At 40.8% G+C, this 16,633-nt stretch overlaps 3 annotated features.

Annotated features, from left to right (window-relative positions):
• Nucleotides 1,400-1,901: an enhancer, noted in NCBI's record as "H3K4me1 hESC enhancer chr12:27366569-27367070 (GRCh37/hg19 assembly coordinates)". NCBI's record gives its function as "activates a minimal SCP1, AML or CMV promoter by ChIP-STARR-seq in primed H9 embryonic stem cells {active_cell/tissue: H9 hESC(primed)}" and the evidence as "EXISTENCE:reporter gene assay evidence [ECO:0000049][PMID:30033119]".
• Nucleotides 6,814-6,903: an enhancer, noted in NCBI's record as "active region_6135". NCBI's record gives its function as "activates an Ori minimal core promoter by ATAC-STARR-seq in GM12878 lymphoblastoid cells {active_cell/tissue: GM12878}" and the evidence as "EXISTENCE:reporter gene assay evidence [ECO:0000049][PMID:35858748]".
• Nucleotides 7,244-7,463: an enhancer, noted in NCBI's record as "active region_6134". NCBI's record gives its function as "activates an Ori minimal core promoter by ATAC-STARR-seq in GM12878 lymphoblastoid cells {active_cell/tissue: GM12878}" and the evidence as "EXISTENCE:reporter gene assay evidence [ECO:0000049][PMID:35858748]".

The raw sequence follows: 16,633 nt of genomic DNA, 5'->3' as shown, positions 1-16,633 counted from the left end.
ACAAATATAGTTCATTAGTATTTTCATACATTAATAAATAATAGGTAGTATGTTTAATTATGATCTAGTTAAACACTGAGCCACTTCTGTTTCTTGTGATTCTAATTATTATCATTATTATTACTGAGACAGGGTCTCACTCTGTCACACAAGCTGGAGTGCAGTGGCCTGATCATAGCTCACTGTAACCTCAAACTCCTGGGCTCAAGTGACCCTCCCACCTCGGCCTCCTGAGTAGCTAGGATTACAGGTATGCACCACAACACCTGGCTAATTTTTTATTTTTTATAGAGAGCATCTCACTATTTTGCTCAGTTGGTTTCAAACTCCTGGTATGAGGCAATCCTCCTGCCTCAGCCTTCCAAAACAGTGGGATTAGAGGTAGTATAAACCATTGTGCCTGGCCCTGCTTCTAATTATTTTTAAGAAAAGAATAAAGAAATAAAAGAAAAGGAGACTGTTGGTTGAAGAGAGAAGGCCAGACATGGTGGTTCATGCCTGTAATTCAAACACTTTGGGAGGATGAGGTGGAAGGATACCTTGAGGACAGGAGTTCAATCTGGGCAACATAGTGAGACCCGCTTCTCTACAAGAAAAAAAAAAGAGGAATCTTCTTTCACCTTTTCCTCATGTATTTGTTTTAGCCCAAAGAAAAGGAAGCCTCTACTGCACTTCTGCCCTCTCTTAATTTATCCCTTCTTTTTTTCCTTCTCATAGGAGTGACTGAGATGATATTTACAGTTGGGGACATTCATTGCACCAGTTTCACTGGTAGGCTAGACCAATATTGAAGGCTAAAGATCAGTGCTTGTGACTGTTTTGTCCTCTCATTCACTTCTGACCCCAGGTCCACAGATTATATTTCACTCCCTGGAAAAGTGGCAAGCACACGTGGATGGGGCCTGAAAACCACATTTTAGAAGGAGGCTTGTGGCCTTTGCCTTTTGTCTGCTGTTTGGGTAAGTAGAACCGGGGTCTACTCTGAAGGCTCTACCTGTGTCTTCATAGCAGCATGCCTGAAGATGCAGGTACCAAGATCTTCTCTGCCAGAAGGTTTTCCTGGCCTTTGCAGCTCTCAGCAGACAGGGTAGCTCCTCTCTGCAGCTAGTCCTCCTGCCCTACCTCCTCTGCCCTGCTCTGGCTGAGCCCAGGGCTTTTATGGACCTGAGAGGGGAGGAAGTACGTGCTGATTGGTCCATGGGTGGCCAAGGGCAGGCCCAGAAGAGGCACCACAAGTCCCCACTCCAGTCCTTGGGACTGGCAGCCCAGCACCCAGACTCAGGCCTTCCCTGGCCTGAAGGAGGGGCCTTACTGGGGACCTGCCGCCTTCCACCCAGGAATCTGTCTGCCTCCTGCTGCCATTCATGGCCCTCAGGCTCTCAGGACTTTGCTCCGAGATCCAAGCAGGCATCCACAGCAGGGAGAAGCCAGGCAGCAGGGGCAGGCACTTCTGAGCCTGCAAGAGCAGGGGGTCCTTCCCAGGCGCCCAAGAGTGCAGGGATGCCTGAGTCTGCCGCCTCAGTTTGGGCAGCTGCAGTGGAGGCCTAGGGAGCTCCCGCCCCATCTTGGAAGGGGCATGGCTCTCTTGGGCTTCATGGACTGTGCAGCCCCAGCGGTGCCTCCCTGCTGCAGCTGGGGTGATGGCAACAGCAAGCTGTATGGAGCAGTGGCTGTCATCAGTGGCACCCTAATCCCCTAACAGAAATCCAAACTGTAATTTGTGAAACTTTATCTCGTTTGCTAGAATGGAACTGCATATTCTTCTCTGTCTCCGGGTGTGACATAGGATTTGACCCATAGTAGTAGTGACTTAAAAAATGCTTATTGGATGAATTAATAAAGTATTTTTTAAAGTAAAGTTTGAAAGAGAATTTGTAAAGGAGCATAGATTTCCAGAAAGATGAGAAGGTAAACTTAGCTTAGACTGGGCAAGGAGGAATATAGACTTTCATAAAACAAAGCCAAAGTACTCTGGACTAAAAAAATACTGAACTTCAGAACTAACAGAAGGATACAAACTGAAAGGCCAGAGTCAGAAGAGAAGGGCAAAAGTCCACAGGCAGTAGCAGACATGAAAATTAGCTGTCGGCAGGTGAGCTGCTCTTCTATACACCTCTCTATGGGTAGGAACTTGAAATATCCACTATCTGTCTCCTGGCAGTTAAAGCATCTTCAGAAGTACAGTCAAGATATCTGTCAATATCATGTGTTTTACATGTCAAACGGAAGCAAACTAGCATGTTACAGCTTAAACTTCTTAAAACATATGTGAAAAGTGTAGGCAGATTCTACTTTTTAAAAATATTGTTTTGTGAGTTAACGGTATTTTTATCAAAATAATAAATGTACTTAAAAACAAATATGAAAAAATAGTAGTTCCTACTGCACCATTCACCAGTCCCCAAAAGCATATTGTAATAGTCAACTCTTCATTTTTTATCTATTTCTTTTAGCATATTTCTCAATAATATGCTTACATTGCTATTTTTGATTTACTGGTTTTAAAAATGTATTGACTTCCTTTGATGGAGAATAAAGCTCATCCCCAATTTCATTTTTCAATAGAGCTCACAACTTGGGGTAAATCAATAGTATTATTATAAATATGTAATTATTGTTTACTATTGTGATAAATGACTTATGATTATGATTTTGGGTTTCTTCTGTTTGCTTTACATCTCTTTATTTTTCCTAGAGTTAACCACTGCCTTATTTTTTCATCTGTTTGATTTTCTTTTTTTTTTTTTTTTTTGAGACAGGGTCTCAGCCTGTCACCCAGACTGGAGTGCAGTGGTGCAATCATGGCTCACTGCAGCCCTGATCTCCTGGGCTCAAGCAAGCCTCCTGCCTCAGCATCCCAAGAAGCTGGGACTACAGGTGCGCACCACCACACCTGGCTAATTTTTGCATTTTTGGTAGAGACAGGGTCTCACTATGTTGTCCAGGCTGGTCTAGAACTCCTGGGCTCAAGCGATCTTCTCTCCCTGGAATCCCTAAGTGCTGGGATTGCAGGTGTGAGCCACCGTGCCTGGCCCAGCTTTTCACTTAAAAAAAAGAAAAAAAGCCCATTAGCTATATCTCTTCAAAATCTCTATTTTTTGCCTTAAAACTACTTTCTCCCTCCAGCATTAAGCCTTCCTAACAACTATCCTCGCCTTCCAGGATTTCTTTCCTCTTCCCTTCCAAACTCTCTCTTATGCCAAACACTTTAGCTCTGCACCAGTCTCATGTTCTTAACTTGATGCAACACCATTTGTTTCTACTTACGCCAGTTAGGCAAAGGCCCCTAGATTGATTCTCTAGTTAATTAGGATCCATTTTTCTTAGAAGTCAGTGAAGAATTATTAATAATATATTTTCCTCTTTCATGTCAAATTCAAAATAATGGTTTATTATATACACTAAAATAAGAGTTGAACTAATTTCAGTTTTTCCCTTTATAATATAAGGAGATGCACATAAAAATCTAAGTTTACCTAGCACCAAATTTCCAGTTTTTTCAGATATGTTTTGTGCCACTTATAGATTCATGCATGGGTAGCTGTCCAAGCAATCCAACAAAGAGTGGGTTAGTTGAAAGTGGAACAAGGGAAATCAAGACCATCATGGAGTCTTCCAGAGAAAGGCAAGTGAAATGGAGCATAGCTAGGGTGGGATTGGGGTAGAAGGCAATATAGCATCCAGTGTTTGATTTTCTGGGCTGCAAAGAACTGTTGGACTTTCAGGTAGAGAATTAGGTAGAGACTAGATTACAAAGGGTCTTGGGGCCAAACTGAGGCACTTTTTTTTTTAATCAATAAGCAATGGCAACAAATTCCCGTGGAATGTCAAAGACTTATCTTGGTAAGTACAAAATGGAAAGAAATATGAAAAAAGAAGGAAGAAAAAAGGAAGAGGAGAGAACCAAAGAAAAAAGAAATAAAAGAATCCTAAGAGTTGGAAGAAATCTTGGCATGTACTTTTTTTCTTTTTCAAGTTAAAAAATGGGGGTCTCTCTATGTTGCCCAGGCTGGTCTCAAACTCCTGGGCTCAAGTCATCCTCCCGCCTTAGCCTCCCAAAGTGCTGGGATTACAGGAGTGAGCCTCCATGCCCGGCAGGCATTTATTTATTTAGCCCCACCTCCTGCCCAGTGCTGGAATCCTTTCTTCAAATCTAGTACTCAGAGTTCTATATCCCAGAGCTTGCCTAGAATTTTAATTTTAACTTTTTATTTTGAGATAATTGTAAATTCACCTGCATTGTGAGAGATTCTGTATACCCTTCATCCAATTTCCCCCAATGATGACAGCTTACATAACTAAAGTACAAAATCAAGCCAGAAAATTAATCCTGATATAATCCATCAACTTTATTCAGATTTCATCAGTTTTATAGGTACTCATGTGTGTGTGTGTGTGTGTGTGGGTGTGTGTATTTTGTTCTTTGCAGTTTTATCACAGGTATACATTTGTATGACCTCCACCACAGTCAAGACACAGAATGGTTCCATCACAGGGATCCCTCATACTTCCCTGTTATAATCACAGATACCTCCCTCCCTATGCCACCTGCCCTAACCCCTAGCAACTACTAATCTGTTCTCCATCTCTATAATTTTCTAATTTTAGTAATGTTATTCCATTAGGTCATTCTTGCATTGCTATAAAGGAATACCTGAGACTGAGTAATTTGTAAAGAAAAGAGGTTTAATTGGTTCTGTAGGCTGTACAAGCGTGGTGCTGGCATCTGCTCAGCTTCTGAGGAGGCCTCAGGGAGCTTTTACTCATGGTGGAAGATGAAGCAGGAGCAGGTACATCACACAGCCAGACAGGAGCAAGAGAGAGAGTGGGAGGGTAAGTGCCACACACTTTTTAAAAAACCAGATCTCATGGGAACTCACTCACTCTCACGAGGACAACACTAAGCCATGAGGGAATCTGTCCCCATGATCCAAATGCCTCCCACCAGGCCCCACCACCAACACTGGAGATTACACTTCAACATGAGATTTGGGGGAACAAGTATCCAAACTATATCAGTTATATAAAGGGAATCATGCAGTATGTAACCCTTTGAGATTTGGCTTGTTTCACTCAATATAATTCCCTGATAACCCATCCAAGTTGTTTCAAGTATTAATGTTTTACTCCTCTTCATGGCTTAGTAGTATTCCATGGTACATGTGTACTACAGTTTATTGTGAATAAAGCTGCTATGCATGGAAGGGAAGGATAGGAAGAGATTTGTTAAAGGATACAAAATTACAGCTAGACGGGAGGAACAACTTCTAATAGAGCTGTAAGATGACTACAGATAACAATAATATATTATATAGTTTCGAATAGCTAGAAGGAGGATGTTACATGTTCCCAACACAAAGAAATGATAAATGTTTGGGATGATGGCTACACTAATTACCATGATCTGAGATCATTATATGTTATCAGCATTGAAACATCACTATGTACCTCATGAATATATACAATTATTATTTGTCAAATAATATAAAATAAAAAAAATTTTATGAGCATGCTTGTAGAGGGTTTTGTGTGAACATACACTTTCATTTCTCTAGGGTAAATGCTCAGAAATGCAATGGGCCATATGGTAGTGGCATGTTTTGTTTTTTTGGGAACTTCCAAACAGTTTTCCAAAGTGGTTGTACCATTTTACAATCTCACCAGCAACATATGAGTGACCCAGTTTCAATATATAGACATTTTATTTTGTTTTATTCAGTTATGGAGGGGATTTTATTTTTATTTTATTTCCATAGCTTCTGGGGTGCAAGTGGTTTGTGGTTACATGGATGAATTGTATAGTGGTGAAGCCTGAGATTTCAGTGCACCTGTCACCCAAGTAGTATACACTGTACCCAATACATAGTTTTTTATCCCACACTCTCTCCTACCCTCCCCCTTCTGAGCCTCCATAGTCCATTATACCACCCTGTATGCCTTTGTGTACCCACAGCTTAGCTCTCACTGCTAAGTGAGAATATACAGTATTTGGTTTTCTATTACTGAGTTACATCACTTGGAATAATGGCCTCCAGAACCATCCAAGTTGCTGAATAGCAATATTTTGTTCTTTGTTACAGCTGAGTAGTATTCCATGGTGTACACATACCACATTTTCTTTATCCACTCATTGGTCAGTGGGCCCTTAGGATGGTTCCATATCTTTGCAATTGGAAATTGTGCTGCAATAAACATACAAGGGCAGGTATCTTTGATATAATGACTTCTTTTTGAGGGGGTAGATACCCAGTGTTGGGAATGCTGGATATACTGGTAGATCTCCTTTTAGTTCTTAAGAAATCGCCATACTGTTTCCCATAGAGGTTGTCCTGATTTATATTCCCATAAGCAGTGTATAAGCATTCCCTTTTCATCACATCCTGGCCAACAGCTATTATTTTTTGACTTTTTAATGATGGCCATCCTGGCTGGAGTAAGGTTATGCTATCTCATTGTGGTTTTAATTTGAATTTCCCTGACGATTAGTGATGTTGGGCATTTTTTCATGTGTTTGTTGGCCATTTGTCTATCTTCTTCTGAGAATTGTCTATTCATGTCATTTGCCTACTTTTTGATGGGATTTTTTTTTCTTACTAATTTGAGTTCCTTGAAGATTCTGGGCATTAGTTTTTGTCAGATGCATGGTTTGCAAATATTTTCTCCTATTCTGTGGGTTGTCTGTTTACTCTGATGGTTATTAATACATAGACTTTTAAAACAAACAAAAAGGTTTTAAAAAAAATAAAACAGTCTGGGTGCAGTGGCTCATGTCTATAAGCCCATCATGTTGGGAGGCCAAGGCAGGACAATTACTTGAGGCCAGGAGTTTGAGACCAGCCTGGTCGAGGTAGCCAAACCTCATCTCTACAAAAATAAAAATAAAAAAGTCAGGCATGGTGGTGCATGTCCGTAGTCCTAGTCTCTGAGAGCTAGCTAGGGCTACAGACATGTACCATCATGGAGGATTGCTTGAGCCCAGGAGATCAAGGTTACAGTGAGCTATGATTTCACCACTGTACTCCAGCCTGGGTGACAGAGCAAGACCCTGTCTCAATAATAATAATAATAATCAATAAGTGATGAAACAAAACTTAATGCAGATTTAGGCTTGCTTGTTGTCAACATCGCTGCCTTCCTCCTATGTAATGGAAAAGAGGAACCAAGAATTCCATTTCTTAGAATCCCCTTCCCCATATAGTTCCAGAGTAGCATCTGCAAATGAGAGGCACCCAAATGAGCTGCAGAAAGTAGGCAATAAGGTGAAGTCATCACTCTCTGGAGGCCACTCTAAGCGGATATGTGGGCTGACTGCAGACCTGAAGTTCCCAGCAGTTTCTGGATGAACTAACCTGTGGGAATCCCCTATTTTAGTCAGCTGCATGCAAGCTGTGATGACTTGTGGGAGCTTCCCACAGGTTTCTTGATTTTATCATTATGCATTTTTAATTACCTTGCTGTGTTATGTATTATGTATTATCTCAAAATGATTGATTCTGACAATGGTTGTGACCTTTTGCTAATGGCACGTGAACACGGAGTGTTTGGGTTAGGATTGAGTTCAAATACATAAGATAAAAACCCAACTTACTAGCTTACACAAGTCAGAAATTTGTTTTTTCTCATTTATCTTCTCATGTAAGATAAATCAGGGCTGTTGGGTTGTTCTGCAACATCGTCAGTGTTGGCCAGTCTCCTTCCTCTGTCTATAATCCCGTCCATAGTGCTGGATTCTACCCTCGAGCTTGTTTCATGATCACTGGACAGCTGCTGCTCGTTAGCATTCCAGGCAGAAGGAGGTAGGAAGAGAAGAGTATATGTGCGTGAGTACTCTCCTAGATGCTCCACCCAATGACCTCTTCTGACATATCTTTGACCACCACTATCTGCAAGGGAGGTTGGTAAATATACTTCTCAGGGATGCTGGATAAAATATTGCATGGAGCATGCTTATGCTAAAAGTATTTATTGTTCATCTGAAATACAAATGTAACTGAGAGTCCTGCATTTTTATTGCTAAGTATAGTATGTACAACCCTAATAGTTTTATCTGACCAAATTCATTGCCATACTTGACAACATGGGGTTCTAACTGGAAGTTGAGTAGGCAACTGGTGGTCTCTGCCATGTTGAGCCTTCAGTCTATTGCTTGGTCTCCCACTTTTTAACCCATGCCTCCTCTCTCTATCCCTAGGGTAATTAGCCAGTTTTAGTTTCTACTAGGGTTCCCCATCTACTGCCATATCACCTGATTTCTAATATTCAAATGCTTTTTTCTTTTTTTTTTTTTTTTTGGCAGCACAGTAAACTCCATTGTGTGTGTGAAGTTTCCCTTGAAAGGTGAATTGAGAGGGGGGCATTTAGTTCAAACTGAATGTTAAAGACAACTGCATTGTAATATAATTTCTCACACTAACTTTACAGCCTAAATGTTCAGTTCCTCTTCCTTATGTAAAATGTCTCCTATCTTACTGCTTTTGTAGCACTTAGCTCTTTGTTTTAATAATTAATTTTAAGGTCATCAGTATAAGAACAAAAATGGTGATGTAATTATACTAAAAGGAGAGCAGAGGGGAACTTGGGAAAGGTGTGGAGAAGCAAACCGTGTTATCATCCATTGCAGTAGGAAGTCAATATACCATGTTTCACATTGATAAATCATAAATAGTTGAATATGCATATTATTTTAAAGGTTCCTTTGGACTTTGGTGGAGTGGAGCAGGAAACCATTGCTTCTCCATATAAATCATTTTGTATTATTCAATTTTTTTCAAACCTTGTGATTGAATTATTTCACTGAAAATTAAAATGTAAAGGAGAGGGCGGGCATGGTGGCTCATGCCTGTAATGCCAGCACTTTCGGAGGCTGAGGTGGGTGGATCACGAGGTCAGGAATTCAAAACCAGCCTGGCCAACATGGTGAAACCCTGTCTCTACTAAAAATACAAAAATTAGCCGGGCATGGTGGCAGGCGCCTGTAATCCCAGCTACTCAGGAGGCTGAGGCAGAGAATTGTTTGAACGTGGGAGGCGGAGGTTGCAGTGAGCCGAGATTGTGCCACTGCACTCCAGCCTGGGCAACAGAGCGAGACTCCATCTCAAAAACATAACATAACATAACATAACATAACATAACATAACATAACATAACATAACATAACATAACATAACATAAAATGTAAAGGAGAAACTACTGACACTACATGGTAACTTTTCCTCTTGGAATGAATAGGACAGCACAGCAGAAAACAGTTATAATTAATCAGTAATAAGCACCAACAGAGTGGGCCCTAGTAGACAATGAACTACACAAAGGTTGTATTTGGTCTTCAGAACCTTCCCACCTGCAGGGATCAGAAAGCCATCTGCCCTGCTGTAGATTACCAATGAAACTTAAAGTGCTACATTTTTTTCATGGATTTTTTAAAATTTGAAAGGTAGGAAGTATTAAGGTCCAAAAACAAAACTGTGGGTAGAACTCTGGGTCTCAGTGGTTAGAGAAGCTGTGGGGCAGCAGGCTTTCTAGTGCTCCTGAAATCTTGCTAAGGACATGGTTAGGTAAATTTTACTTGTTGGTAAGGCTGTCACACTAGGAATCATTTACTTGCTCTAGAATGTTGAGTGATATTATTATTATAAGAAATTAAGATCATTTCTCCAGCTTTACTTGACTTTAAAATTTAAAATAGCCTAAAACAGTTTTGAAAAAAATAGATAAACTTCTAATTCATAGCCTATTTTAAATCAAGCCATCATAATACGATTGTAGCTTTAATGGGGACTGCTTTGAAATAGATCACTTTGTGATTACCATAAGGTATATTATCTCCTCTACTTTCAAAATAATTGCTCCAACTTACAACACTGCACTATAGCATAGGCAGGATGTAATGTGATTTTTATTTATTTTATTTTATTTTTTTGAGACAGAGTCTTGTTCTGTAGCCGAGGCTAGAGTGCAATGGCGCTATCTTGGCTCACTGCAAGCTCCGCCTTCTGGGTTCACGCCATTCTTCTGCCTCAGCCTCCCAAGTAGCTGGGACTACAGGGGCCTGCCGCCACACCCAGCTAATTTTTTGTATTTTTAGAAGAGACGGGGTTTCACCATGTTAGCCAGGATGGTCTTGATCTCCTGACCTTGTGATCCGCCTGCCTCGGCCTCCCAAAGTGCTGGGATTACAGGCGTGAGCCACTGCGCCCAGACCTGTAATGTGATTTTTAAAGCTCTTCATGTGGGATGACTGGAAGAAATGTTTCATTCCTTTTTAATTTTATATATTTTAAAATTGGAATAATCTTTCATTGTTTTTGTTCATTCCAAAATAAGACACATTCATTGTAAAAATTAAAACATACAAAATTACATAAAATATACTGGAGCAGAATGTATTTTATTTTCCAAAGAAGGTTGCACCCATCCCACATACTATTTATTTATTTATTTTTGAGATGGAGTCTCCCTCTGTCACCAGGATGGAGCGCAGTGGCGCGATCTTGGCTCACTGCAACGTCCGACTCCCTGGTTCAAGCGATTCTTCTGCCTTAGCCTTCCAAGTAGCTGCGATTACAGGCACGCGCCACCATGCCCAACTAATTTTTGTATTTTTAGTAGAGACAGGATTTCACCATGTTGGTCATGATGGTCTCGATCTTCTGACCCCGTGATCCGCCTGCCTCGGCCTCCTCAAATGCTGGGATTACAGGTGTGAGCCATTGCGCCTGGCCCATACTCTTCTTATAATGAGATGTTGACATTCCTCCATTGAGAGGTAGTGTCTGGGTTCCCAACTTTTGGACCTGGGCAGATCTTTGAAACTGCTTTTGATCAATAGATTGTGGCAAAAGCGACTTCTAAGGCTAGATCATAAAAGGCAATATGGCTTCTGCCTGGTTCTCTCTCTCTCTGCACTTGTGTCTTTGGAGCCCTGAGTTGCCATGTAGGAAGTCTACTAACTTGAAACCTCCATGCTAAAGAGATCACATATTAAGAAACACCACAGAGGATGCCAGGTGCAGTGGCTCATGCCTGTAATCTCAGCACTTTGGGAGGCTGAGGCAGGCGGATCACTTGAGGGCAGGAGTTCAAGACCAGCCTGGCCAACATGGTAAAACCCCAGCTCTACTAAAAATACAAAAATTAGCCGGGTGTGTGCCTATAGTTCCAGCTACTCAGGAGGCTGGGACTTGCCTGTAAATGCCTCCCAGTAGTACAGTCCAAGCTACTCGGGAGGCAGGAGAATCGCTTGAACCTGGGAGGTGGAGGTTGCAGTGAGCTGAGATGATGGCACTGCACTCCAGCCTGGGCGACACAGTGAGACTCTGTCTCGAAAGAAGATAAGAGAAGATAAGATAAGAGAAGAGAAGAGAAGAGAAGAGAAGAGAAGAGAAGAGAAGAGAAGAGAAGAGAACATCAAGAAACACCACAGAAGGATAAAGTGAGGGTCCCAGGAACAGTCCCAACTTTTCAAGCCTTCCCAGCTCAGGCACCAGAAGTGTGAATGAACCTGCCTTCAAGATGATCCCACCCCCAGCCACAGTCTTGCTATAATCTCATGGGAACCCCGATGCAGAATTCCCCAGTTAAGCAGCTCCCAAATTCCTGATTCACATAAACAGGGGGAGCTAATACATGAATAGTGCTACCACATTTTAAGGGGAGTTGTTATGCAGCATTCCATTAACAGGACAGCCCCTTCTTTCCTCACCCAAGATATAACTACCTGTAAAGACTTCTTAATGCATATGTAAACTTTTTTAAAAATGAGATTATACTATGTATATTACTATATAACCTTCTTCTCCCATTTAATAATGTATCATGGACATCTTTGCATATCAGCACATAGATCAACCTCATTCTTTAACAGCCACATAATACTCCACCATATGGATGTACCACAATTTATTTTCCAATCCCTTACTGGAATGTATATATATGTATATAGAGTCTTTTTAAAATACATGTTTATATAAAAATACATACTGCAGTGGATCACTTGAGGTCAGGAGCCTGAGACCAGCCTGGCCAATACGGTGAAACCCAGTCTCTACTAAAAATACAAAAATTAGCTGGGCATGGGTAGTCCCAGCTACTTGGGAGGCTGAGGCAGGAGAATCGCTTGAACCAGGGAGGGGGAGGTTGCAGTGAGCTGAGATCCTGCCACTGCACTTCAGCCTGGGTGACAGAGCGAGACTCTGTCTAAAAAAAAATATATATATATAATGTGTATATATATAACGTATATATATAATGTGTATATATATAACGTATATATATGTGTATATATATAACGTATATATATATAATGTGTATATATAATATATAATGTATATATAATGTATATATAAAATGTGTGTATACAATGTATATATTATATATAATGTATATATAATGTATATATATTCTGTATTTTGTATAAATTTATAATCATACTATCATACTATTTTGTAAACTAATATTCAATATATTGTACTTCCATATTACATGTTCTCTAAAATATTACTTATATTGCTGGAATGACAGCTATCATCTGAATGTATCATTATTAATTTAAATGAGTCTATTGCTGGACATTTATATTGTTCTCTATAAAAAATGCTGCAGTTATCATTATATTGGATACACTTGTCCAATCATTCTTTAGAATACATTTCTAAAAATAAAAATGCTAAACCAAAAGGTATTTTGTACAAACTACTAATGGCATCTGTGTTCCAATTAATGCTCCCATCAAAAGAAAACAAGCATATGTATTCCCTATCCATTTCTTAACTCTGATCATTTAAAAAATATTTAATCTTTGCTGATCTCACTGATTAAAAGTATTTTATGTTTTATTCTCATTTACATTGATTTGACTATTTTATAAGACAGAGCCCACATGAGTTTTGGTGCAGACTACCCTTGAGGAGACCATTGGAACAGGAACTCTCAACACCACAGGGAGCCCTGCCTAGAGAATCCTAAGCCCTCCTGCCTCCTGGACCATCATGTGAACTATAGCCTTGCCCAGAGATGACTAGCTTTCTCACACTGCACCCGTTAGCTTTACTAAGTGTAAAGATACTTATTTGGGGCAAAGGTACTTGTGACATATAAGTGACATTGGGAGAACCTCAATGCAGGGCCTTTTTACTCTGGTTATTCTAGGCTACAAAAGGCATTTTGGTCCATTTGGAATACAAGTGCAAAGTGAGGGAGTCCAGTCTCATTATTAGAATTGGTCTTGCTAGACTGTATTTCAATATGATCTCATCTGATAAGAGCCAGGGACCTTCTGCAGGCTCGCAGGAGGGGAACGTTCTTACGGTACTGGTTAAGGAGCTCTAGGACTCAGGGAGAGGGAAAGGTATGGGCCCATAGCTAAGTAACGAACTTTCTTTCTAACTGTCCCTGTGCCCTGCCAGTGCTGTGCCCAATGTCATGTTCATTTCCATACACAATTCCTCCTTTCTAAAATGCCTCTTCCTTTCTCCAGGTGAGCAGACCCTATGCCTTCTGGCTTTTTTTTTTTTTTTTTTCTCTGAGACAGTCTCCTCTGTCACCCAGGCTGGATTGCAGTGGTGCAATCTTGGCTCAATGCAACCTCCGCCTACTGGGTTCAAGTGATTCTCGTGCCTCAGCCACCCGAATGGCTGGGACTACAGGTGCACGCCACCATGCCAAACTAATTTTTGTATTTTTAGTAGAGACGGGGTTTCTCCATGTTTTGCTGGTCTTGAACTCCTGGCTTCATGTGATCCACCCACCTTGGACTTCCAAAGGCTATGATTACTGGCATGAGCCACTGCGCCTGGCCCCTTCTGGCTTTTCTAAGTCAGAAGTATCTGTTCCTCACTTAAGGCACTCACTCCTTTTTGCCTCATATTCTGATTATTTTCTTACTGATTTCCCGTACTACACCGGACTTTAGACTGCGTCTTTTTCACCTTTATCTCTCTGCGCAATGCACAATACGATACTAGCGGGATCTTTTTTATCAAATGTTCCTAGTCTCTTTCCTTTATTTTAAGTCAGAGGTCAGCAAACTATGGTCCTCAAACCAAATGCAGCTCTCTACCTGTTTTTATAAAGTTTTATTGGAACACAGCTATGCATATCATTTATGTATTGCCTGTGGCTGCTTTTAATCTAAGACAGCATTGTGGAGTAGTTGGGACAGATCTTATAGCCTGCAAAGCCGAAAATATTCACTATCTGGCCCTTTGCAGAAAAGGCTTGCCAACCCTTGTTCATTTTTAGAAATAAATTTGTCCTTTGGACTGTATCCATTAAACCACTCACTGCCTTTTCTCTTGCCTTATGAAATCTGTAAGCATGATAATTATGAAGTATTTTGAGAAATATTCATCATAAAATATAATCTCATTTGGGGAAGTGTCAGGTATCAGTTTAAAGGTACTGTAGTAAGCTCATATACAACCAAAGAAGTGTCTAGACCCTTGTCAGAAAGTTGTCCTTGAAAAACAGTAACGTTGAATTGCAGATTTGTAGATAATTTCTCAGAGCTTGGTTAATGTGAATCTGCCACATGGAGAGCCAGTTATGTTCCACCCCAGCTGGGATTAGTCTCTCCTTCCTTAATGCTTCCAGAATCCTTCATTGTGTCTGTCACAGCATTCATATCAATTGGCCTTATATTAATTTTTTTACAAGTGTGTCTCAAGATAGGGTTATAAACACCCCATGGTAAGGAACTCTTTTGTTCAATTCTGTTGCTTCCATAGAGTTTTTGCAAAGTAGATATCGATGAATGGTCACTTAATAAATGTCATTAATGCAAGCATGAAAAATAGGTTTATAATGACATTGTGAAAACATGGGCAAAACCTCAGCAGAGATTCTTCAAATTGAGCTTCGTGAATGTACATTTTCAATACCATTTATTCTGCTTATGTCCCTATTTAATTTGCTCATATATGTGTATAGAAAGGAAGTCATCTCAAGAATGTCTACTATACAATAGCACTTTGTTATTTAAAAACAAAACAAAATAAAACAATTCTCAAGAAAAAGAAAACGCCTTGTTTCTAGAAAAAGAAAATGCCTTGTCTGAGGTCAAGTGGTTTTCTCAGGAAATTAACATTATTGTGAACCGAAAATCCTGCTGGACCCATTTTCTTAACTATTCCCCTTATTGTAAAACTTCAGCAGGTAGTAAACCCTATTTAGCAATCCAAGTGACAGATGACCCAACAGACCTCTGGGTTTTACCTATGTGAAATAATCTTTATAGTCAGGCCCAGTGGAGTCTAACTAGGAAAGCAAAGCATCCCTAGGGTACTTTATTTGCCTTTGTAGAAAGCAGAGCTCTTGGTTGCAAAGTGATAGAAACATAGCTTGAATTAGCCTAACAAAATGGGGTAGGGTGTGGGGGTTGCTGGTTTAGAAAATCCAAGAAGGAGGTGAGTAACCAAATGATGGGGAAAATTGTAATGCAGCTAGGCCTCAAGGAACTATGGGAACCAAGAACTGGACGGCTGCCAGGACTCCCTTCTTCTCTGTTTGGAATCTCTGCCTCTTTCTACGTGCTACTCCCATTCTTGTTCATTGTAGATCAACTTTCTCTACCAGAAAGCAAACCTAACCATACACAACTTCCTTTTTCCCCCTTTTTTCACCTTATAGCTTTACTCTTTGAGAGGGACAGTCCCTCTTTATTTTAATTAGAAAAATCCCAGAGAAAAACTTTGAGCCCCAGTTGAGTCAAACCCAACAGGAGCTGTGGTCATATAAGAAAATGACAGCCTCTAACATAGATGTGGGTGTAAAGGGGAGGGAGAAATGGAGGAGGAGTGACAGTTCCTAAGAGAAGGGGGCTGGAAGGGTATTGAGTTGACAATTCCATAGATGTTCTCTGTCTTCTTTTTCAGGGTGTGGGCTATCCTATTTACAAACAAATTCTTAAGCTTCTGGAAAGACAAGAAAGAGGGCTAATGAAGAGCCTCTTTCTGACAGATGCCTCTCAGCCAAAGGGAAGAAGAGGTAAATGTTCACATTTGTTTGATGTACAGTCAATGAGTGGCCAATGGCTTCCCATCAGCAAGGACTGAGAGAAACTCACAAGTACCTAAAATGTTTAACACCTAAAATGGATCTTCCCAGTAAATACTGTGAGAGGGCTGGTCTATTTTCCTAATGCAAAAGGCTAAAACTCTGGGCTGCCTTATGGTTTCTCCAAGTCTTGCCCCAGGACTGCTTGCTGCCAGCCCATACAGGACCTTTGTGCAAATTAGAAAGTCATGCCCTCCTTGAGGCAGACCCAGTACCCACTCACTACCCTAGCAAGATGGCAGGACTCCTGTGTTGAGCACTGAATTTCAGCCTCCGTCTGCCCCTCAGACAGGCACCTTTGCGCAGGGCTCAAACTGCACAAACATCTGTGGCAGCCCTAGGCCTACAAAGAAGAGGGTAGGGTAGGTTGCACCTTCTGCCCCTTCTCCAAACGCAAGGACTTACAACATCAATAAACATGAGACTTGGGTGGTAGGTTGGGCTTGGTGATTGAAGACAGTAGCAGGAATAGCAATAATGGCTGAATTCAAAGGACTTTAGGGATGGGTAACCCACCTCTGGGTACTGGAGCAACAGAGGCTCTGGGGATGGAGAGACCAGCAGTAAACTCCACTGGCTGAGC

Source organism: Homo sapiens, chromosome 12 (assembly GCF_000001405.40).
Source record: "Homo sapiens chromosome 12, GRCh38.p14 Primary Assembly".
Lineage (NCBI taxonomy): Eukaryota > Metazoa > Chordata > Mammalia > Primates > Hominidae > Homo > Homo sapiens.
The sequence above is the reverse complement of the archived record's forward strand: the minus strand, read 5'-3'. Positions and strand labels throughout refer to the sequence as shown.